General features: G+C 42.8%; 1 protein-coding gene across 15 annotated transcripts in view, besides 8 other annotated features; it reads right to left on the reverse strand.

Moving 5' to 3' along the window:
* RNF19A (ring finger protein 19A, RBR E3 ubiquitin protein ligase) overlaps positions 1 to 20070 on the reverse strand; it is a 79138-nt gene that overhangs the window by 47995 nt on the left and 11073 nt on the right. For 5 of the 15 annotated variants that reach the window (XM_047421664.1, XM_047421666.1, XM_047421668.1 and 2 more), the window contains exons 2-3: positions 8230 to 8311; positions 4806 to 7349 (exon numbers count right to left, since the gene is read on the reverse strand). The gene's annotated coding sequence lies outside the window, so the exon portion shown is untranslated. Of the gene's footprint in view, positions 1 to 4236; positions 7350 to 8229; positions 8406 to 20070 lie in introns of those variants that run through there. The other 10 variants (NM_001280539.2, XM_047421671.1, XM_047421673.1 and 7 more) reach the window with 5 other exon arrangements.
* Positions 4125 to 4174: a silencer, noted in NCBI's record as "silent region_19413". NCBI's record gives its function as "represses an Ori minimal core promoter by ATAC-STARR-seq in GM12878 lymphoblastoid cells {active_cell/tissue: GM12878}" and the evidence as "EXISTENCE:reporter gene assay evidence [ECO:0000049][PMID:35858748]".
* Positions 4445 to 4494: a silencer, noted in NCBI's record as "silent region_19414". NCBI's record gives its function as "represses an Ori minimal core promoter by ATAC-STARR-seq in GM12878 lymphoblastoid cells {active_cell/tissue: GM12878}" and the evidence as "EXISTENCE:reporter gene assay evidence [ECO:0000049][PMID:35858748]".
* Positions 4545 to 4634: a silencer, noted in NCBI's record as "silent region_19415". NCBI's record gives its function as "represses an Ori minimal core promoter by ATAC-STARR-seq in GM12878 lymphoblastoid cells {active_cell/tissue: GM12878}" and the evidence as "EXISTENCE:reporter gene assay evidence [ECO:0000049][PMID:35858748]".
* Positions 4995 to 5384: a silencer, noted in NCBI's record as "silent region_19416". NCBI's record gives its function as "represses an Ori minimal core promoter by ATAC-STARR-seq in GM12878 lymphoblastoid cells {active_cell/tissue: GM12878}" and the evidence as "EXISTENCE:reporter gene assay evidence [ECO:0000049][PMID:35858748]".
* Positions 5090 to 5249: a silencer, noted in NCBI's record as "fragment chr8:101322379-101322538 (GRCh37/hg19 assembly coordinates)". NCBI's record gives its function as "represses an EF-1alpha promoter that drives an FKBP-Casp9 reporter gene in an ReSE screen in K562 erythroleukemia cells {active_cell/tissue: K562}" and the evidence as "EXISTENCE:reporter gene assay evidence [ECO:0000049][PMID:32094911]".
* Positions 8680 to 8829: an enhancer, noted in NCBI's record as "active region_27689". NCBI's record gives its function as "activates an Ori minimal core promoter by ATAC-STARR-seq in GM12878 lymphoblastoid cells {active_cell/tissue: GM12878}" and the evidence as "EXISTENCE:reporter gene assay evidence [ECO:0000049][PMID:35858748]".
* Positions 11013 to 11072: an enhancer, noted in NCBI's record as "active region_27690". NCBI's record gives its function as "activates an Ori minimal core promoter by ATAC-STARR-seq in GM12878 lymphoblastoid cells {active_cell/tissue: GM12878}" and the evidence as "EXISTENCE:reporter gene assay evidence [ECO:0000049][PMID:35858748]".
* Positions 11093 to 11152: an enhancer, noted in NCBI's record as "active region_27691". NCBI's record gives its function as "activates an Ori minimal core promoter by ATAC-STARR-seq in GM12878 lymphoblastoid cells {active_cell/tissue: GM12878}" and the evidence as "EXISTENCE:reporter gene assay evidence [ECO:0000049][PMID:35858748]".

Genomic DNA, 20070 nt, shown 5'->3' on the forward strand with positions numbered 1-20070 from the left:
AGTAGCTGGCATGACAGGTGCCTGCCACCAAGCCCAGCAAATTTTTGTATTTTTTAGTAGAGGCAGGGTTTCACCATGTTGGTCAGGCTAGTCTTGCCCGACCTCAAATGATCTGCCTGCCTCAGCTCCCCATACTGCTGGGATTACAGGATTATACATTGGGAAAGACAGTAACGCGCAAAGTCATTTTGTGCGGAGATGTAAAACTGAGAGAAGACAGGTAGCCTGACTTTCAATCCAACTCAATAACTCCAATTCGAAGGTGTATGCAATTCTGTATTTGGCCTCAAAAGACACATCAATCAGTTAGAAAAAGACTACAAAAAGACAAGTTCTGCAGAAAGAAACATGTCATACAAAACGCCCCTAGAGCTACGCTGTCCAATATGAATAAAAGTACGTAAAGTCACTCATGATAATCTTTCAGATCTATTGGCTTAAATGCATTATGAAAACTAATTTTGCCTGTTTCCTTTTACTTCTTTAATGTGGCACTAGAAAATTTTAAATTATATTTGTGGCTCACATTGTATTTCTATTGGACAACACTGCTGAAGAGATAGTTATAAAATAAATACCTTAGATTGTAGATACTTTAATTCTATTAGCAAATACTTATTCGACATCTTTTATTGTCAGGCTTATGCTAAGTGCTAAGACTTAAAGAGTGAACAAAGAAAATGGTCCCTGCCATCACAGAGCTTGCATTAGCTCCTATACTTCTGCACATTTCACATAGTCTCATTTGTGATTATGCATTAGAATAACTTAATTTAGGATACCTTACCATTTTCAGGGGCAAATACCAATACGTGACTTAGAAATCACAAAATATAAATCAACAGATTCATGATAATGAGCTTATTTTTGTGATACAATATTTATATTAATACGTTATATAATATTTATCTGGAAACCTAACATCATCACATTCCCAAAAGCTTCTCCTGGTTTCTTGCTCCTTCCCTCTAACAACTCTGGCTCCCTCCTTATGGCTCACTTCTACCAAAGTCTCTTCAATTGGCAACCTGCCTGCTATTCAAATCATAAGGACTATTTTTATCCTCAGGGGTCTCCCCAACAGGACAGAAGTTAAAAATGCTAAGTATACATAATTTCATGGGGCCAACTCCAGTTTTTTGAACCAAAGACTCAGTTTCGAAGTTTCTTTTGGGCGTAAACAAGCTAAGGTGATTTCTGAGCAGGATTTTTGCTTCAGAATTCAATGCACAAACTTATTTCAGAGTTAAAACAACTGAACACTTCTGTCATATTGAGAGTTTCATGTAACAAAACCTTTCCTAATAGGACTTCTAAAACAAATTAACAGTAATTCTTTAGTAAATGATTTATAAAATAAAATACTAGATAACATCAATAGGATAAGACTACATAATGGTTTTAAGGCTAATGGCATAGCTTTTTAAAAAAGTTATCAATAAAAATAATTCTTCAGGTGTTAATGACAGTGATAAAGAGAGCAATGCAAGCAAAACCTCCTTTATCAAGAAGTGTTACTTTTTCCACTTTGATATAGAAAGTATCACTGACATATGATAACTTTTGAGAAACAAATGAAGTACACAAGTTTTAAACACCCAAAGTGATTTCACTGCCTGTTTGGTTGAAGCCTACCACCATCTGAAATACAGGTATGTTCAGCAAGGAAATATTATCCCTTAGTCTTTAGCTGTGCAGGTACGGTTAAGTAAATGAGTTGTTTCAATGTTAGACATCTTCTATCTACTAACAGAGAACTGGCATGGCTTAAAAAAAGAAAATTCATAATTACTCCTAGTTGGAGAAAAAAAATTCCTAAGTAAAGAAAAATTTAGCTATTCTCCGTAAGTAGTAAGATGAATATTTTGATAAATAGCTTTTAAGCTGAAGTACTACTCCATATATAATCATGGGTCCTTTCAGACAATCTAAATTCAACTACCATTTTGCTATGATGTGCTAGTTTGCCAAATACAATGCAATATGCAATGAAATGTAAATTTAGAAATTCAACTTTACTTTGGGCTTTTGCCCAAGGTGGCCTAATTTTTATCTTGGCAAAGAATGTTAAAAGATCATAAGCTTATTAGTTCAGTACAAAACCAGCCTGCATTTGACAGTCAGTTTTCACTTATTAATGACATTAGAAAAACGAATAACAATTCCCTAAGATTTCCTATATAACCCGAGTAGAGAAGATATAAGTGAGCAATTCAGATGTAAATATTAATATAACAAAATTTATCTCCAGCTTACTCTGCGCCCAGCACTTGACTAGGGACTTTTACATGTTATCACAAATATTTTGCCTTCTTTTCCCTACTTGGAAATTACAGAAAACTACATATCTCAACCATCTGTGCCCTGTAGATTAAAAACGACAACAACAACAAACTATATGTGTTGGAGAAGGGGGAGAAATAATCTGAAACCAAAAAATTTCTATATAAATCTAAATAAGTGTTCAAGATACAAACTGCCGCAACAAAAAAAAAACCGTGGTGGGGAGGGGGTGTCAGAATCTTCCATAATATACAAGTGATTATTTCAAATAGTTAAAACAAAAAGTTTGCTTTTAATTACCCATATTTAATTCTAAACAACCCCATAACAAATAGTATCCTTCAATCCAACCCCAATAAAATAGAGGTGACCCAAGTGTCTTACATCCTCAACTGCAAACATACTGCTTTACGACTTCACTTACATTCAAATTTGGGAAGTGCATTTACTTTCCACCAAGATGCTAAGTATTTTATTTATTCATCCATTTTCTTGAATGAAGTATCTTTAAAAATAGGAATCTTAGCACCTCTCGTGTGTTAGGCAGAAAATAAGTTTCAGTCAAGCAAAATACATCAAAAACTCAAGAAATCACCAAAATTTGTTTAAAAATCCCAACACTGTCTGGTTGACAGTATGGACAGTTCTTTATATTAAGTCTACTGATCAACTGAGGCATCCCCTAAATGAGAAAACAAAATTTCCAGTGGCCACTATTTGGTACTAAGAATTGGGTTGTGCTTCAACTCCTAAAATGATGCTGCAGTTTTAAAAATTAATCTTACTGGAATCTCCTGGAAGCTAAGATAGTGAAAAAAATACACTAACATTAGTTGCCAACTGTAATTTTTTCCTCAAAGACACCTTGCGATGACATTAAAATATTTTCCATGGACACGTAAAATTTAAACTTCAGTTAAATTTTATACAGTAATTTAAAAAAAGAGAACATTAAGCAGGGCATTAAACTAACAAATTTTAAAAGTGTTTTTTTAGCATAATTTGGTTTATTAAGTCCCAAGACTTAATTCTAAATTTTTACCATGAAACTGTAACAAGGAAAGAACATTTGAAAATACGATCATCGCCATTTTCTAAATAGAGAAGTATTTACATTTTAACTCAATTCAGATAGTTCAGTCAGTGTTAAAGAAGCAAAAACAGGCAAACAGGGTAATGGCTTGCATTATAAACAGAAGTGGTAAAATGTGTATTAAGACGGGTAATGGCAAAACTGAAAATAAAACTTAAGGCAAACCGTCAGACTTCAAACAACCAAAACTCAATGAATCTAGGTTAAAATAAGAAAAGATATTTTAAAAAAATGAAAAGAACCATGTTCTTTAAAAAAAAAAAATGTGGAATGTAAAGATCACAATTTAAGACAACCGATCAAAGGAAAGGGCTGCTTTAAGCCTCTACTGTTTACTAACACTTAAAATTAGCATTTCTAGCCAACATCTAGGTTTGAAAATTGCAACGGCACTTAAACGCCGTCTTTTCTAACGTCACCCCAACAGAACATTCTGCAACACTGTGGACAGTAAACATTAAGCAGAGTAAAGCATCGTTCGTGTATTTATATCTCCAAGGGTCAATGGGAAAAAATTAAACGTTTCTCTCTCCCATATATAGCCTTAACCACTCTCTTCCCTCTTTTTATTTACTGCCCTTGTCGCGGGGTTAATGAACCCTAAACTTCTTTTTCTTCTTCCCATTAATGGAAATGGGAAAAAAAGAGCAACTGCAGAGTGGAACCCAGATAAGAAAAACTGAAAATTCAAAGTAGTAGTATTACTTGCCGGGCGAGGGCTGGGAACACCCTAAAGGCTTAGCACGGGGAGACAATCCCGGAAGACCCCCGTTAACACATACTTCACCCCAAGGCTACACCATTTTGGTGTGATGTGTAATTTTTGCTTTTGAAGGAGGTGGTAGCAGTCCCGGACTAACCTTCCTCCGAACACAGCTCCCCTCCCTAAGGCCCCAGGCAGCACGGCTTGCGGGGCGATGTCCCGGCTCCAAATTTGCAGCGAGGCCCGGAAATCGGTCCCGTTAGAGCCGATTTCACCCGTCAGGAATGCGTTCCGCCCCCGCCGCCTCCCCGCGGCAACCGCCCTTGGGTCTCCCCCGCTTTAGGGGCAGGAGACAGCTCGAGGGGAGCGCCGCCTCGGCCCGTCATAATATCGCCGGGCCGGCCGCCGGCCGCACAGGCACCAGGAGGACAGGGCTTGGGGCGGATCCCACGCTCCACCTCGGCCCCCGCGGCCCGGGAGACGCCCGCGCCTGGGCCGGGTAGGGGACCCGGAGCTGACCGAGGCCTGACCCCCTAAGCCGGCCACGGCCCCGAGCCCACGCTGGACACTGGAGGAGACGCCTTTCCCACCGGACTTCCGAATCCATTTCTGTCCCGGGCAGGGGCGCTAGGGCTGCGGCCCGGCCAGAGCTCCCTGGGTCGTAAGCGAGAGCCGCCCCTTCTCTCCCGCTCCGGGGCGCAAGCTCCTCCGGGTGCCCGCCCGTACCTTTAACTCCTCAGAGCGGCGGCAGCGCAGGGTGGCGGGCGAGTAGGCCCATCTCCCAGCAGCGGCGACAGCAGCCTGAGGAAGCGCGGGGGAGGGTCCCTCCGATGCGCCGAGGCGCCTCTCAACCGGGGCGGAGACGACGGAGGGGAGGAGTCCCGACGGCCGCTTTCCCGAACTCCTCCTCCGCAGTTGTGGCTCGACGGCTGCTCCCGGGAACCAGCGCCGCAACTACCACCTCCCCCTCCCGCAGCCCCCGCTTTCCCCTCCTCCTCCTCCCACTTCTTCCTCCCGCCCCCGGCCGCCCCGCCCCAGCGCGCCGCCCGCGTGCTGTGCGTCATGGCGTCACGCCCACCGGGCCCGCTGCGGGCGGCTCTGGACGCGGCTGTTCCCTTGCGCACGTTCGTTCCGCGCCCGCGCAGGAGCCGCCCCGCTGCACCCGGGTGGCCCCGACTGCGGCCCCCACGCCTGTCCCTGGCGGAGGGGACTTCGCCTCGAGCGCGCCGGGCAGTGGGGCCGGTGTCTCCCTGGCCGGTTCTCCGTGGCCCAGAGAGCGTCTCCTCCAAGGACAGGTCGGGGTGGCTGGAGCTGCGCCCGGTTGAAGGGAGTTGCCAGACTCGGCGACTCTGGCTCTTGGCAGTTTGCCCGGCATTATTCATTCCTTTGTGTTCTCAGGGTTCACCTGCTAGATTGGCAGGCCGAGGGAGAGAAGTGCCGGGATGTTGCAGCTCTCGGCGAGGAAATGTCCTTTCCCAGAGGACGGCAGCACCCTGTGCGTCTGCAGCCGCCCTCTTAGTGCACCTGTCTTTGCAGAGGCTGTTAGGAACAGTACTTAGCCACAATAGCAAGCCTACGTGAGGGTTTGGAGAGTATCTTCCATTCATCTCTTTTATTTCATTTTTTTTTTACTATTTTGCAGTCAAGTAATCAGAATTCCTATTTCATCTCTAATACATTCCTAATTACTTTAATCCAGCTTTATTTGTTCCTTCGTCTCATATCTTTTCAGCCAGTCATATCCCCTTTGAATGTTTCAATCTACACTAGTCTTGGTATTCTTAGTTGAATAAACAAATTCCGTCTGGGCCTGGTGCATTTCCTCCTGGTTTATTCTCTTCAAGATTTAGATCACTCTAACATAGAATACTGAGAAACGAATGTGATAGAGGCTGGACAGAATGTCCATTTGCCATCTGTTACTTAACTAAATATATCACTCTCCCAGTCCTTGTTTAGTGTGTCTGTGTAATTTAAATTAGAAACAAACCAAGGAGCCATGGTCTTTCCGAATGTACTTGGTATCTTTGGTAACCCAGTAAATGTTTACCAATTAGAAAATTGAACAAGCTAGGCAGTTTAGGTTTAAGTGTCTTTGGCCTCGAATCTTAAAGGAAGTAATTATGGGTATGTTTATTTTCATTTATGGGAAGTTTTAAAGCTGTTATACCTTTAAATGCTACTTGAAGGCTGCCAGCGACTTTACATATGGGATGCTTTAAGCCTACAGATAGCACAAGAATAGTAAGTTAAGTACCCATATATAATATCCTTCTTGAAAATATATCAATATGTTGGCCGGAATTGGTGGCTCACGCCTGTAATCCTAGCACTTTGGGAGGCCGAGGCGGGCGGATCACGAGGTCAGGAGATCGAGACCATCCTGGCTAACATAGTGAAACCCCGTCTCTACTAAAAATACAAAAAATTAGCTGGGCGTGGTGGCGGGCGCCTGTAGTCCCAGCTACTCGGGAGGCTGAGGCAGGAGGATGGCGTGAACCCGGGCGGCGGAGCTTGTAGTGAGCAGAGATCTCGCCACTGCACTCCAGCCTGGGCGACAGAGCGAGACTCCGTCTCAAAAAAAAAAAAAAAAAAAAAAGAAAAGAAAATAGATCAACATGTTAAACAACATTTCAGCACAGATGGGGCACTGGCTTGAAAGGGGATTTTGAATAAAGAAGCTGTGCGGAATGAAAATGGTCTTACACTCTGTACAACGGTAATATTTTCCAGAGATGCTGCTTCTGGCTTTCTTGTCTTCCTAAAAATTAGAAGGACTTTCTATTCTTCACTAGGCCAAATAAATCTATTAAAAAACAAATACCTATTGAACATCCCCAACTTGAATTCCTAGAGGCACCTCAGATTCAGGCTGTCCAAGATGTAGTTTGTTCTTTCCTCAAAGCATGCTTCTTTCATTCACCCAGACACAAGCCAGAAACCTAGGATTGTTCCCAGGCCCCATTCTTTTTGTCCCTTCCAATTCATAACTAACCACCAAGTCCTGTTTATTATACCCCGGAAATATCCCTGTGCTCTCTGTTCTATATCTCCCTCTGCTTTTAGAGCAGTGTTTTCAAATTTGGCTGCATATTCTTATGTCCACGTTGCACCCAACAATTAAATCAGAATCACTGAGGGTGGTGCTCAGGCATCAGTAGTTTTTAAAACTCCCCAAGTGTGCTGGGCACGGTGGCACACACCTGTAGTCCTAGCACTTTGAGAAGCAGAGGTGGTTGGATCACTTGAGTCCAGGAGTTCAAGACCAGCCTGAGCAAGATGGCGAAAATACAAAAATTAGCCTGGCATGGTGGCCCACGTCTGCAGTCCCAGCTACTCCAGGGGGCTGAGGCAGGAGGATCATCTCCATAGCCTTAGGAGGTCAAGGCAGCAGTGAGCCCTGGTCACACCACTGGCCTCCAGCCTGGGCGACAGAGTGAGACCCTGTCTCAAGAAAGAATGAAAGAAGGGAAGGAGGGAGGGAGAGAAAGAAAGAAAGAAAACCGGGCGCAGTGGCTCACGCCTGTAATCCCGGCACTTTGGGAGGCTTAGGTGAGTGGATCACTTGAGGCCAGGAGTTTGATACCAGCCGGGACAACATGATGAAACCTCATCTCTATAAAAAATACAAAAATTGGCTGGGCATGGTGGCACACTCCTGTAATCCCAGCTCCTCAGGAGACTGAGGCATGAGTCGCTTGAACCTGGGAGGCAGAGGTTGCAGCGAGCTGAGATTGTGCCACTGCACTCCAGCCTGGGCAATAGAGCGAGACTCTGTCTCAAACAAAACAAAACAACAACAACAACAAAAATAAATACATAACCTCTTTCCAGGTAATTGCAATGCATGACCAAGGTTGGAAACCACTGCCAGGGCCTCATCATTTCCCACTGGAATACTGCAAAAGCCTAATTGGCCCCAGGTGCCTTAATTTTTGGCAGTATTCTCTTTTGTTTCCCTCCTCTCTTCTAATTCATTTAACATCAATTCGATAAACATTTGAATGCTTACTATATTGGGGATGGGGTGTTTGCCATTACAGGCACTGAGACTATAGCAATGAAAAAGCCTACATATCCGTTTGCATGGTGCTTACATTGGGGGATGAGGAATAAAGAAGGAAAAATAATGAAAAGGAAATACACTTACCAGAGTAACAGAAACCAAAGAGGCTGTAACTTAGTTTGGTCTCTCAAACTAACGTCAATTCTTCTGACATTTGAGCTGGATTCTATAAGACAAGAAGAAGGCAAACTAGTTAGGAGGTGGGGAAGACGGAGGAACAGCAGACGCAAAGGTCTTAGCCAGAAACACTTGTCAAATTCAAGGCAGCTAGAGGCTGAACATAGCAAAAGGGAGGGGAGTATGACGTGGGCCAGGGGACGGGGGGTGGTCAGAAAAGTAGGAGGCAGCTGGATGATTTAATACCTTTTTAGGTATGGTAAGGAGAATTCTAAATGATTGGTATGAAGTGTGATGAGACAATAGATGTTTAAGCAGCGTGACATCTGATTTGTCTTTGAAAAGGATCACTCAGGCTGTTCTGTGGATCAGATTAAGGCAGAGCAAGAGTGGAAGTAGGGAGACCAGTTAAGAGGCTATTCCAGGAATCCAATAAAGATGTCATAGTTCTTTGAACCAAGGTGGAGACTGTGGAGACAGAAGTGGATGGTTTTGGTTTTGGTTTTGGTTTTAGAGGTATAATCAGTCATACTTGCATGGAATGGAATAAAAGTGGCAAGTAAAGAGAAAGAGAACTACTTTTTTTTTGAGACAGAGTCTTACTCTGTCACCCAGTGGCTCAATATTGGCTCATTGCAACCTCCACCTCCTGGGCTTAAACAATCTTCCCCCCTCAGCCTCATGAGTAGCTGGGACTTCAGGCACATGCCACCATGCCTGGCTAATTTTTGTATTTTTTGTAGAGACGAGGTTTTGCCATGTCGCTCAGGTGGGTCTTGAACTCCTGGGCTTAAGTAATCTGCCCAGCTCAGCCTTACAAAGTGCTGGGATTGCAGGCATGAGCCACGTGCCCAGCCGAGAACTACTCTTTATTGCATACATACTATATATACTATATATAGTACACTATATGTTCACTTTATTGAGTACACATACTATATATACTTTTTATTGAGTACATATACTATATGACAGGCACTATTCTGATTGCTTTATAAGTATTAAGCCACTTAGTTTATCATCAAGAATCCCTAAAGCTCCCAAATTAGGATCTGAGGCACAAGAGTTTAAGTAATTTGCTGAAAGTTACGTAGCTAAGTGGCAGAGCTGGGATTTGGACCATCCGGCAGGCTGGCTCCAGAGCTCATGCTCTTCTCTTAAACCTACCCCTGGCCCCTTCCCTGGTGTCACAGCCTAAGTGAACATTTCTTTAGCCACAGTAAGGTACTAGCAGTACCACAAATCCCCCCATCCTTTCCTGTCTTCCTTCTCTTCTCTTTCTCACACACCCTGCTAACTTTCTTTCTCTTTGTAGGTACTACCTAGCTTTGCAGATGCTACTATGCCTAAAATGCCCCCTCCCCTCTCCTCTGCCTGGCTCATTTCTATCAACTCTCACTGGTCCTGACAGGCTAAATCAAGCTCACATTCCCTAGCTCCACAACAACCATGCTTACCTCTATAATTTTTCTGTATAAAGTACTTCATTGTCATTATTTGTAGGCCTTTCCCACTAAACTTTGAAGGTAGAGAACTTAATGCCTGACACCTAGTGAGAGAAAGAGGAAGCAGGCACAGAAGCTTAGCTATGCACATGACATGCCTTCCCTAGGTGCTGCGAGACACCAATATGGTAAAGTATCGTCCCTCCCCTTGAGCAGCTTGTAAACTTGCCAGGGAAACTGACATCGAGAAAATCACTCTAGGCCAGTGTGCTGGCACATGCCTGTAATCCCAGCACTTTGGGAGGCTGAGGCAAGCAGATGATTTGGGCCTAGGCAACATGACAAAACCCATCTCTAGGAGTTTTGTCGTGTGCCCAGGCATGGTGGCACACACCTGTAGTCCGAGCTACTCAGGAGGCTAAGGTGAAAGGATCACTTAAGCCTGGGAGTTGTAGGGTGCAGTGAGCCAAGATCACACCACTGCACTCCAGCCTGGATGATCTATGTATACTCACTCTAATATAAGAGCCAATAAAGTACATATGATATAGACACAGGACAAGGTACCATTAATTGTGCTTCAGGACATCAAAGGCAAGAAGCTTGGCCTTATGTTTGTTTCACTGGGGGGGAAAAATGCAACCAGGAATGAATGGGAGCTTGGGGGCTTTAGTCTCCACCATCATTTCACCTGGCTTAGGGAGGCAGTCTGGGGCCTTGTCCAGGGAGAAAGAGATTCTCTTTCAGCACAATTGATCATTGGAATGTGCTACTTCTTGACTCTCCTCCTTACCTGTCCTTATGTGACTAAATATACTGATTTCCAAATTGATTCAGTTTCTTTCCCAGCAGGGTCATGGAAATTTTTCTTCTTCGTCGTCTTGTTGTTGTTGTTGTTGTTGAGACAAGGTCTCACTCTGTTGTCCAGGTGGGAGTGCAGTGGTGCAGTGCGATCACCTTGACCTCTTGGACTCAAGCGATCCTCCCACCTCAGCCTCCTGAGTAGCTGGGACTACAGGTGTGTGGCACCATGCCTGGCTAATCTTGCTTGTTAAAATAGATTTCTGAGTTTCATATCAGACTAACAGACTCATTTTCTATGGGGTTGGGGTGCTAGAATCTAGTTTTCCACAAGCTCTCCAGGTAATTCATATCACATGTTTGAGAACCACAGCATAAGTGTGGCTGGAATTGGTGGGTTCTTGGTCTCACTGACTTCAAGAATGAAGCCGTGGACCCTTGCGGTGAGTGTTACAGCTTTTAAGGTGGCGCATCTGGAGTTTGTCCCTTCTGATGGTCAGATGTGTTCGGAGTTTCTTCTTTCTGGTGGGTTCGTGGTCTCGCTGGCTCAGGAGTAAAGCTGCAGACCTTCGCGGTGAGTGTTACAGCTCTTAAGACGGCGTGTCTGGAGTTGTTCCTTCCTCCCAGTGGGCTTGTGGTCTCGCTGGCTCAGGAGTGAAGCAGCAGACCTTCGCGGTGAGTGTTACAGCTCATAAAAGCAGCGTGGACCCAAAGGGTGAGCAGTAGCAAGATTTACTGCAAAGAGCGAAAGAACGAAGCTTCCACAGTGTGGAAGGGGACCCCAGTGGGTTGCCACTGCTGTCCCGGGCAGCCTGCTTTTAGTCTCTTATCTGGCCCCACCCACATCCTGCTGATTGGTAGAGCCAAGTGGTCTGTTTTGACAGGGTGCTGATTGGTGCCTTTACAATCCCTGAGCTAGATATAAAGGTTCTCCATGTCCCCATCAGATTAGTTAGATACAGAGTATCAACACAAAGGTTCTCCAAGGCCCCACCAGAGCAGCTAGATACAGAGCGTCGATTGGTGCACTCACAAACCCTGAGCTAGACACAGGGTGCTGATTGGTATGTTTACAATCCCTGAGCTAGACATAAAGACTCTCCACGTCCCCACCAGACTCAGGAGCCCAGCTGGCTTCACCTAGTGGATCCCGCACCAGGGCTGCAGTTGGAGCTGCCTGCCAGTCCCGCACCGTGCGCTCTCGCACTCCTCAGCCCTTGGGTGGTCTGTGGGATTGGCTGCCGTGGAGCAGGGGGTGGTGCTCCTGGGGGAGGCTCAGGCCGCACAGCAACTCATGGAGTGGGTGGGAGGCTCAGGCATGGCGGGCTGCAGGTCCGGAGCCCTGCCCCGCGGGAAGGCAGCTAAGGGTCGGTGAGAAATCGAGCGCAGCGCCGGTGGGCTGGCACTGCTGGGGGACCCAGTACACTCTCCGCAGCCGCTGGCCCGGGTGCTAAGTCCCTCATTGCCCGGGACCAGCAGCGCTGCCCGGCTACTCTGAGTGCGGGGCCTGCCAAGCCCACGCCCACGCCCACCCGGAACTCCAGCTGGCCCGCAAGCGCCGCACGCAGCCCAGCCCGGGTTCCCGCTCGCGCCTCTCCCTCCGCACCTCCCTGCAAGCTGAGGGAGTGGGCTCCAGCCTTGGCCAGCCCAGAAAGGGGCTCTCACAGTGCAGTGGTGGGCTGAAGGGCTCCTCAAATGCCGCCAAAGTGGGAGCCCAGGCAGAGGAGGTGCCGAGAGCAAGCGAGGGCTCTGAGGACTGCCAGCACGCTGTCACCTCTCATAAGTGTTTCAGTCATTATGATAATATCCCAACTTCAGGAAGTTTTCTTCCACTAGATCTCTCACTGGGCCCTTCAGAGAGTGCCAGGGGAAAGGAAATTGTTTCTTCCTCTTCATGGGACCCATGCAATTACTTAGAATCTTCTTTATTTCCCCTCCCACCCATTCTTCTGACATATCCCCAAAGGTCTTCTTGATGGATTCTCAGGCGACTGTTCCCATTTGCCTACTCCAGTCTTTCTTGGTTCCCTTCCCTGTTTGACTGACTCACAGGCAAGCCCACACTGTGCTGGTGACCTGGACCAGAATCCTCCAGAGGCTTCTACAAATTGAGCTGGTTAGACAAACTCCATGTTTGACAGGATGAGGTTGGCTCACGAGGTCTAGAGTGGCAGGATGCACTGGGGCAGGATGTCAGCAGGTGATGAGCAATGACTTAGAGTGACCATATGTGGCAGCTTGCTCAGGACACTCATGGCTTACACCTATTGTGGGGACCTGATTATTAACAGTACCCTCTTTCATTCTCAAAGTGTCCTGAGTTAGACAATAAATTACATGGTCACCCTGGTAATGAGCCTCAATGTCAAGGCCAACTGTTGTGACATTTTTGCCCCTGGATAGGGCCTAGAACACCCCCTCCCCACCCTCTCCAGCCCCTGACCCCATGCCATGGCTCCTTCCTCCCCTCAGATTTCCTTAAAGAATCCCCTGTGGTATAATACTTCGGGCCTACATTAAGGGATTTATAGGAGCCATGAAACTTGTTGCTATATTTACTCTCTCTGACAATATCTAGAAAATATTTTTCTTTGGTTTTAGCACCTGGTATAGTTGTGTTTCCCTTGTTTATTATCCCCATTTGTTTTTGCCTTCTGGAAACCTAATTGTGGAACTGACAGTATTTCCCTTGGCTGTGAGAAAGCTTAAAGCCTTATATGTGGTCTCCTTCCGGTCTGTGTATAAGATTTAAAAGGATGTATTTTATATACTTAACTCACTCTTGGCTTAAATTCTCTGTTCCCATTTCTTCACTGCCTTCAGATTGAATTTTTCTCGTGCTATATTTTATGTATATTTGTAGCCCTTTTATCAATTTTGAAACAAGGCAAATAAAAAATGTGTATGAATACATGCACACAAAAAAATGGGTGCTAATTGTTATATAACTGAAAAGGATTATATTTAAATGTATACACAGAATAATTTCCACACTTATGAAATATAACTGTAAGCAATGAGTAGCACTTCAAATAATGCTGGCTTCAGCATTCCTCAACTACATTATTATCTAGCGAGTGAAATGATTCCAAACAAAAGCAAACAAACAAGAGATTAAATTAATTTTCAAGCTGGAACACTCTTAGATATGACCCAGAAGCTTGATACCAAATAATGCAACAAAGAACACTCACTACCGGATTTACATAGCCCAATTTGATAGCATGCATGGTTTCACCCTCAGAGTGAAATCCTGTGCTGTTGGAAACGAAGAAAGGGAGAGGAAGAATGGTGGTTGGGGGAATCAGATTTGGGAATGCACAGTCCAGATGATAACAGTGACCCACAAGAAGGAATTATGGCCAGAAGCACATGGCCCAGAGCAATCCCCAGGCAACTGTTCTTCCTGTTGCCCTGGATAATGCTGTGAGAGGTTGTAGGGACTGGCACCCTGTGGTTTGCAGCTAATGTAAAGCTGAATAAAGAAATTCACCGTAATCAAATTACTGAGGAATATATTTTACAACTAGTTCATTTTGGAGGATACATGGAGTTTCCAAGACTCAAAGATGGACATTCTATGGATGGTTTACTAAGTTATTTTATGGATAAATTGAGCTTGTAGTTAAACCTGCTTCAAAAAAATTTGTAAGCTAAAATTTTAGTGATATTATGTTTTATATGGTGATTCCTGCTCTTTTCCAGCAAGAATATAAATTTTTCTTAGGATGAAAGTTTTTTTCTTTTTTAACACAAAAGCTTTCAGAAAATAAGGTAATAAATTCATGTAGACCCTGTAAGAATAAATGTTAACTTTTCTCATATTTGTATTATTATTTAAAACAAGATAAATGAAACATAGAAATGGAGTTGAGGCCTACTTTGCACCTTCCCCTAGTGCACCATTCCTTTCTTCCCTCAAGTAACTGCTATCCTGAAGTTTTACCTATCTGGTTCACTTTTTTTTTTTTTTTTTTTGAGACAGAGTCTCACTCTGTCATCCAGGCTGGAGTGTAATGGCACAATCTCGGCTCATTGCAACCTCCCGCTCCCAGGTTCAAGTGATTCTCCTGCCTCAGCCTCCTGAGTAGCTGGGATTACAGGCACACACCACCATGCCCGGCTAATTTTTGTATTTTTAGTAGAGATGAGGTTTCACCATGTTGGCCAGGCTGGTCTCCATCTCCTGACCTCAGGTGGCCCAACTACCTCAGCCTCCCAAAGTGCTGGGATTACAGGCGTGAGCCACCGCGTCCAGGCTTTTTTTTTCTTTTTTTTTTTTCGAGATGGAATTTTGCTCTTGTTGCCCAGGACAGAGTGCAATGGTAGGGTCTTGGCTCACTGCAACCTCTGCCTCCCGGGTTCAAGCAATTCTCCTCCCTCAGCCTCCCAAGTAGCTGGGATTACAGGTGCCCGCCACCATGCCTGGCTAATTTTTGTATTTTTAGTAGAGATGGAGTTTCACCATGTTGGCCAGGCTGGTCTCGAACTCCTGACCTCAGGTGACCCAACTGCCTCAGCCTCCCAAAGTGCTGGGATTACAGGCGTGAGCCACTGTGCCTAGTCTATCTGGTTCACATTTTTATACTTCTACAACATAAGTACAAATTCACAAATAACATATTCTATTGTTTTATATTTTAAATAGTTTTTACTAAGCAAAATTTTACATAAATGATTTTATACTGAATGTATCATTTTATAGCCTTTATTTTTTAAAAAACAACAACAACAACAAAACACTATTTTCAAGATCTACCCATGTTGATACATGGAAATTTAGTTTATTCATTTTGACTGCAATGTAAATACACATTTTCATACATGTATCTTCTTGCTCATGCAGGAGAGTTTCTCTAGGTTATATGCCTAGAAGCAGAATTACTGAAGAAAACCTTTTAAAAGTTGAAAAATGCTATAACCAACCTCTATCCCCATACTGATTATACTTGTAGGTGCTAATATTCACTGGGTGGAAAAATAACAGGTGCATTTGGATTCTCAGAGCCCTTCCAGTACAAGGTCTAAAATGACTATATCAGGGTGATGAATGCCCATACATCAAGGTCCTTTAGGCCTGTTTTCTCATTTTTATAATGAAGGTAATAAAAATACCTTCTTCATAGGGTTTCTATGTGGATTAGATAAAATAATACACGTAAAGCATTTAGCACAGTGTCTGGCACTTAGTAATAGCTCAAGGCATACCTTGAAGATATTGTGGGTTCAGTTCCAGACCACCAAAATAAAATAAATATTGCAATAAAACGAGACACACAAATTTATGGTTTCCTATTATATAAAAGTTATATTTACATTATATTGTGGGCTATTAAGTGTGCAATAGCATCACGTGTAAAAATGTATATACCTTAATTTAAAAATACTTCATTGCTAAAAAATACTAATGATCATCTGAGCCTTCAGCAAGTCAAAGACATAATCTTTTTGCTGGTGGAGAGTCTTGCCTCGATGTTGATGGTGGCTGAATGATCAGGGTGGTGGTTGCTGAGAGTTAGGGTAGCTGTGGCGGTTTCTTAAAATAAGATAACAATGAAGTTTGCCACATCAATTGACTCTTCCTTCCACAAAAGATTTCTCTGTAGCATGCACTGCTGCTTGGCAGCATTTTACCCACAGTAGAAGTTCTTTCAAAATTGGAATCAATCCTCTCAAACTCTGCTGCTGCTTTATCAACTAAGTTTATGAAATCTTCTGAATCCTTTGTTGCCATTTCAACAATGTTTCCAGCATCTTCTCCAAGAGTAGATTCCATCTAAAGAAACTACTTTCTTTCCTCTTCCATAAGGGATCAACTACTCACCTGTTCAAGTTTTATCATGAGACTACAGCAATTCAGTCACATCTTAGGCTCCACTTCCAATTCTAGTTCTCTTGCTATTTCTACCACATCTGTGGTTCCTCCCCTGAAGTCTTGAACCCCTCAAAGTCATGCATGAGAGTTGGAGTCAACTTCTTTCAAGCTGCTGTTAATGTTGATATTTTGAACGCTTCCCATGAATGACAAATAGCTTCCAGCTTGGTGCATTTTTACAGAAAGTTTTCAATTCACCCAGATCCATCAGAGGAATCACTATCTATGGAAGCTATAGCCTTACAAAATGTATTTCTTAAATAATAAGACTTGAAAGTTGAAATTACTCTTTCATCCATGGGCTGCAGATGGATGTTGGGTTAACAGGTATGAAAACAATATTAATCTCCTTATACATCAGAGTTCTTGGGTGACTAGGTGAATTGTCAGTGAGACATAATATTTTGAAAGACATCTTTTTTCTGAGCAGTAGTTCTTAACAGTGGCTTAAAATATTCAGTAAACCATGCTGTGAACAGATATGTGATCATACAGGCTTTGTTGTTCCGTTTCTAGAGCACGTGTAAAGGAGGTTTAGCAAAATTCTTTTTTTTTTCTTTATCAATACCCTGACATAATTTAGCTTAATTCTTAAAAGCCCTAGCATTTGTGGAATGGTAAATGAACACTGGCTTCAACATAAAGTCACCCCTGCATTAGCCCCTAAGGAGAGAGTCAGCCTCTCCTTTGAAGCTTTGAAGCCAAGCATTGACTTCTCCTCTCTATGAAGTCCAAATGGCATCTTCTTCCTATATGAGTCTGTTTAGTCTATATTGAAAATCTGTTGTTTAGTATAGTCCCTTTTATTAATGATCTTAGCTAGATCTTCTGGATAATTTGCTGCCGCTTCTACATCAGCACTTCCTGCTTCACCTTGTACTTTCATGGCACAAAACAAACTCTTTCCTTATACCTCATGATCCAACCTCTGCTAGCTTCAAACTTTTCTTCTGAAGCTTCCTTACCTCTCAGCTTTCATAAAATTGAAGGGAGTTAGGGCCTTGCCCTGGATTAGGCTTTGGCTTAAGGTTTAATCTTCTATTCAGACCATTTAAACTTTCTCCAAATTAGCAATAAGGCTGTTTCATTTATGAGTTCACTGGAGTAGCAATTTTAACATCCTTCAAGAACTTTTCCTTTGCATTTACAACTTGGCTAACTGGCATAAGAGGCCTAGCTTTCAGCCTATCTCAGCTTTTGGCCTGCCTTCCTCATTAAGCTTAATCATTTCTTGTTTTTTGGTTTCAAGTGAGAGGCATGCAACTCTTCCTTTCACCTGAACACTTAGATGTCATTGTAGGGTTACTAACTGGCCTAATTTCAAGATTGTGTTTCCAAGAATAGGGAGGCCCAAGAAGAGGAAGAGATGGGGGAATGGCTGGTCAGTGGAGTAGTCAGAACACACACACACATTTATTAAGTTCACTGTCTTCAGTGGGAGTGGTTCATGGCACTTCAAAACAATTGCAATATTAACATCAAAGATCACTGATTACAGATCACCATAACAGATATAATAATAACTTAAAAGTTTGAAATATTGTGAGAACTACCAAAATACGACACAGAGGCATGAAATGAGCACAGGCTGCCGAAAAATGTTGCCAATAGACTCGCTGGTTGCAGGGTTGCCACAAACCTTCCATTTGTAAACAAAAACAAAAAAACAAAAAAAACTGTGAAGTGCAATAAAGCAAAGCACAATAAAATGAGGTAAGCCCATAAATATTAGCTGTTACCCAGAGTGTTATTTTAAGATGATGGGATATAGGACTCAATGGTTTTTATTTGAAGGTAGTATTTCATAGAAAGTTTTTAAGGAAGAAAGAAAACTTTATTCTTCTCTGTAATATCATTTTTGGAAGTTTTATCTGAATATTTTCCTTTTCCTTTCACATTGTATTTAATTCATATTCTTGGCAGAATCTCAGCACTGAAACAGTAAGAAGAAAACAGTAGAGAAAGGCAACTAAGTAGAAAATAACTCCTGCTGGACAGCCTGTTTTTGCAGGATGACCACGTTTCACCCTTCTTTTCTGCCATCCATTCTTAGAATTGTCACATTAACTGCACGTATGCTAGCCAAGAAACTCATCAGCAATTACCAAAAACAATTCTGTTTCTAGTACGGCTCCAGTTTTTAAAATTTCATCTACCTTTGCCAGGGGAATCCCATTAGAAATGTGTTAGAGGAAGACATATTTAAATAGTAATTTCCTAGCAAATGTGGTCAGAACCCAAAATGGCTAATTGAAAGTTTGTGTGATATGAAAAGATAGGCAAGAGATGACATATAATAACTTGAACATATCAGCTGATATTTAGGGCTGGAAGGGAAAATTTAGGGCCCTGTGTTAACTTGTTGAAATTCATACTTGGGAGTTTTCAATAAACATCACAAGTTGTTTGTAAAATGACTGTGCCAAACCAACATTCCTGTCAACGATCAAAGAAAGTAAGATTTTTAAATGGTTGGATAACTCAGCAAGGGAGAAAAATTTATCTGAGGTCTCGGGGCCAGAGATCTGTATTCAATTTCAAATTGTTTCTAAGGGTTTAGTATCCTGTGATAAAAGCAAAACTTTGTACAATGTATCCCAAGGACATGAGGGAAAAACTGAACAATTACTACAGAGCTGTGATTTTGAGATGACTTTGTTCAAAGAAAATTCCCACACACTGAAGCTGCTACTATAATTTATTTTTTACAGCGGAGGAAGCCCAATCTAGATTTATAAAGTTAGTTCCATAGATCACATGAGCCCTTTTAAATGATCTTCTCTGTATTTCAGTGTTGAATAGAACAGGAATAATTTAGTGGCAAGCATTTTGGGGTATAGAAACAATACTTGAGACTATTTTCAGAAGTACAATCTGCAGCACAATCAAGTTCAAGAGTTTGGATGACTAAAGTTGATGATTAATCACAAAGAAGTATTTCTTTTGTTTCCACCTTAATATTTACTGATTTATAGACCCAACAGGAAAACAAGTGTGGAATTCTTGTTTTTCTTTAAAACAAACAATGGATTCCCTTGAAATACTACATTTTAAAGGCTAAGGAAATCTGGAGGAGAGTGGAAGTTCCTTTCATTCTCTCCTCTGTCCAAACCCTACTCCCACTTTACCCCCATCTAGTAATGAATCACTGTTTTCTTTTAATTAGGCTTCTAACATACATTTGCATTGATTTTTCACAAACGAAGAATTTCCAACCTGAGAAACCTAAATATGAATCTACGCGTTTGCTTCAAGAAAATTCAAAATAAATAAACAGAACTTCATGACAAGACATTTTAACAAGAGATGATAGGAAAATTGATTAAAGGCATTGATCTATCTTTTTTCTTTCTTTCTCTTTCTTCTTCCTTCCTTCCTTCCTTCCTCCTTCTTCCTCCCTCCCTCCCTCCTTCCTTTCTCTCTTTCTCTTTTTTTTCTTTCTTTCTCTCTCTCTCTTTCTCTCTTTCTTTCTTTCTTTTCTTGATAGAGTCTCACTCTGTCACCCAGGCTGGAGTGCAATGGCACAACCTCAGCTTACTGCAAACTCCACCTCCCAGGTTCAACCCATTCTCCTGCCTCAGCCTCTCGAGTAGCTGGAATTACAGGTGCCTACCACCACAACCGGCTAATTTTTTGTATTTTTAGTAGAGATGGGGTTTCACCATGTTGGTCAGGCTGGTCTCGAAC

The sequence above is a fragment of the Homo sapiens genome, chromosome 8 (genome assembly GCF_000001405.40).
Source record: "Homo sapiens chromosome 8, GRCh38.p14 Primary Assembly".
NCBI classification, from domain to species: Eukaryota; Metazoa; Chordata; class Mammalia; order Primates; family Hominidae; genus Homo; species Homo sapiens.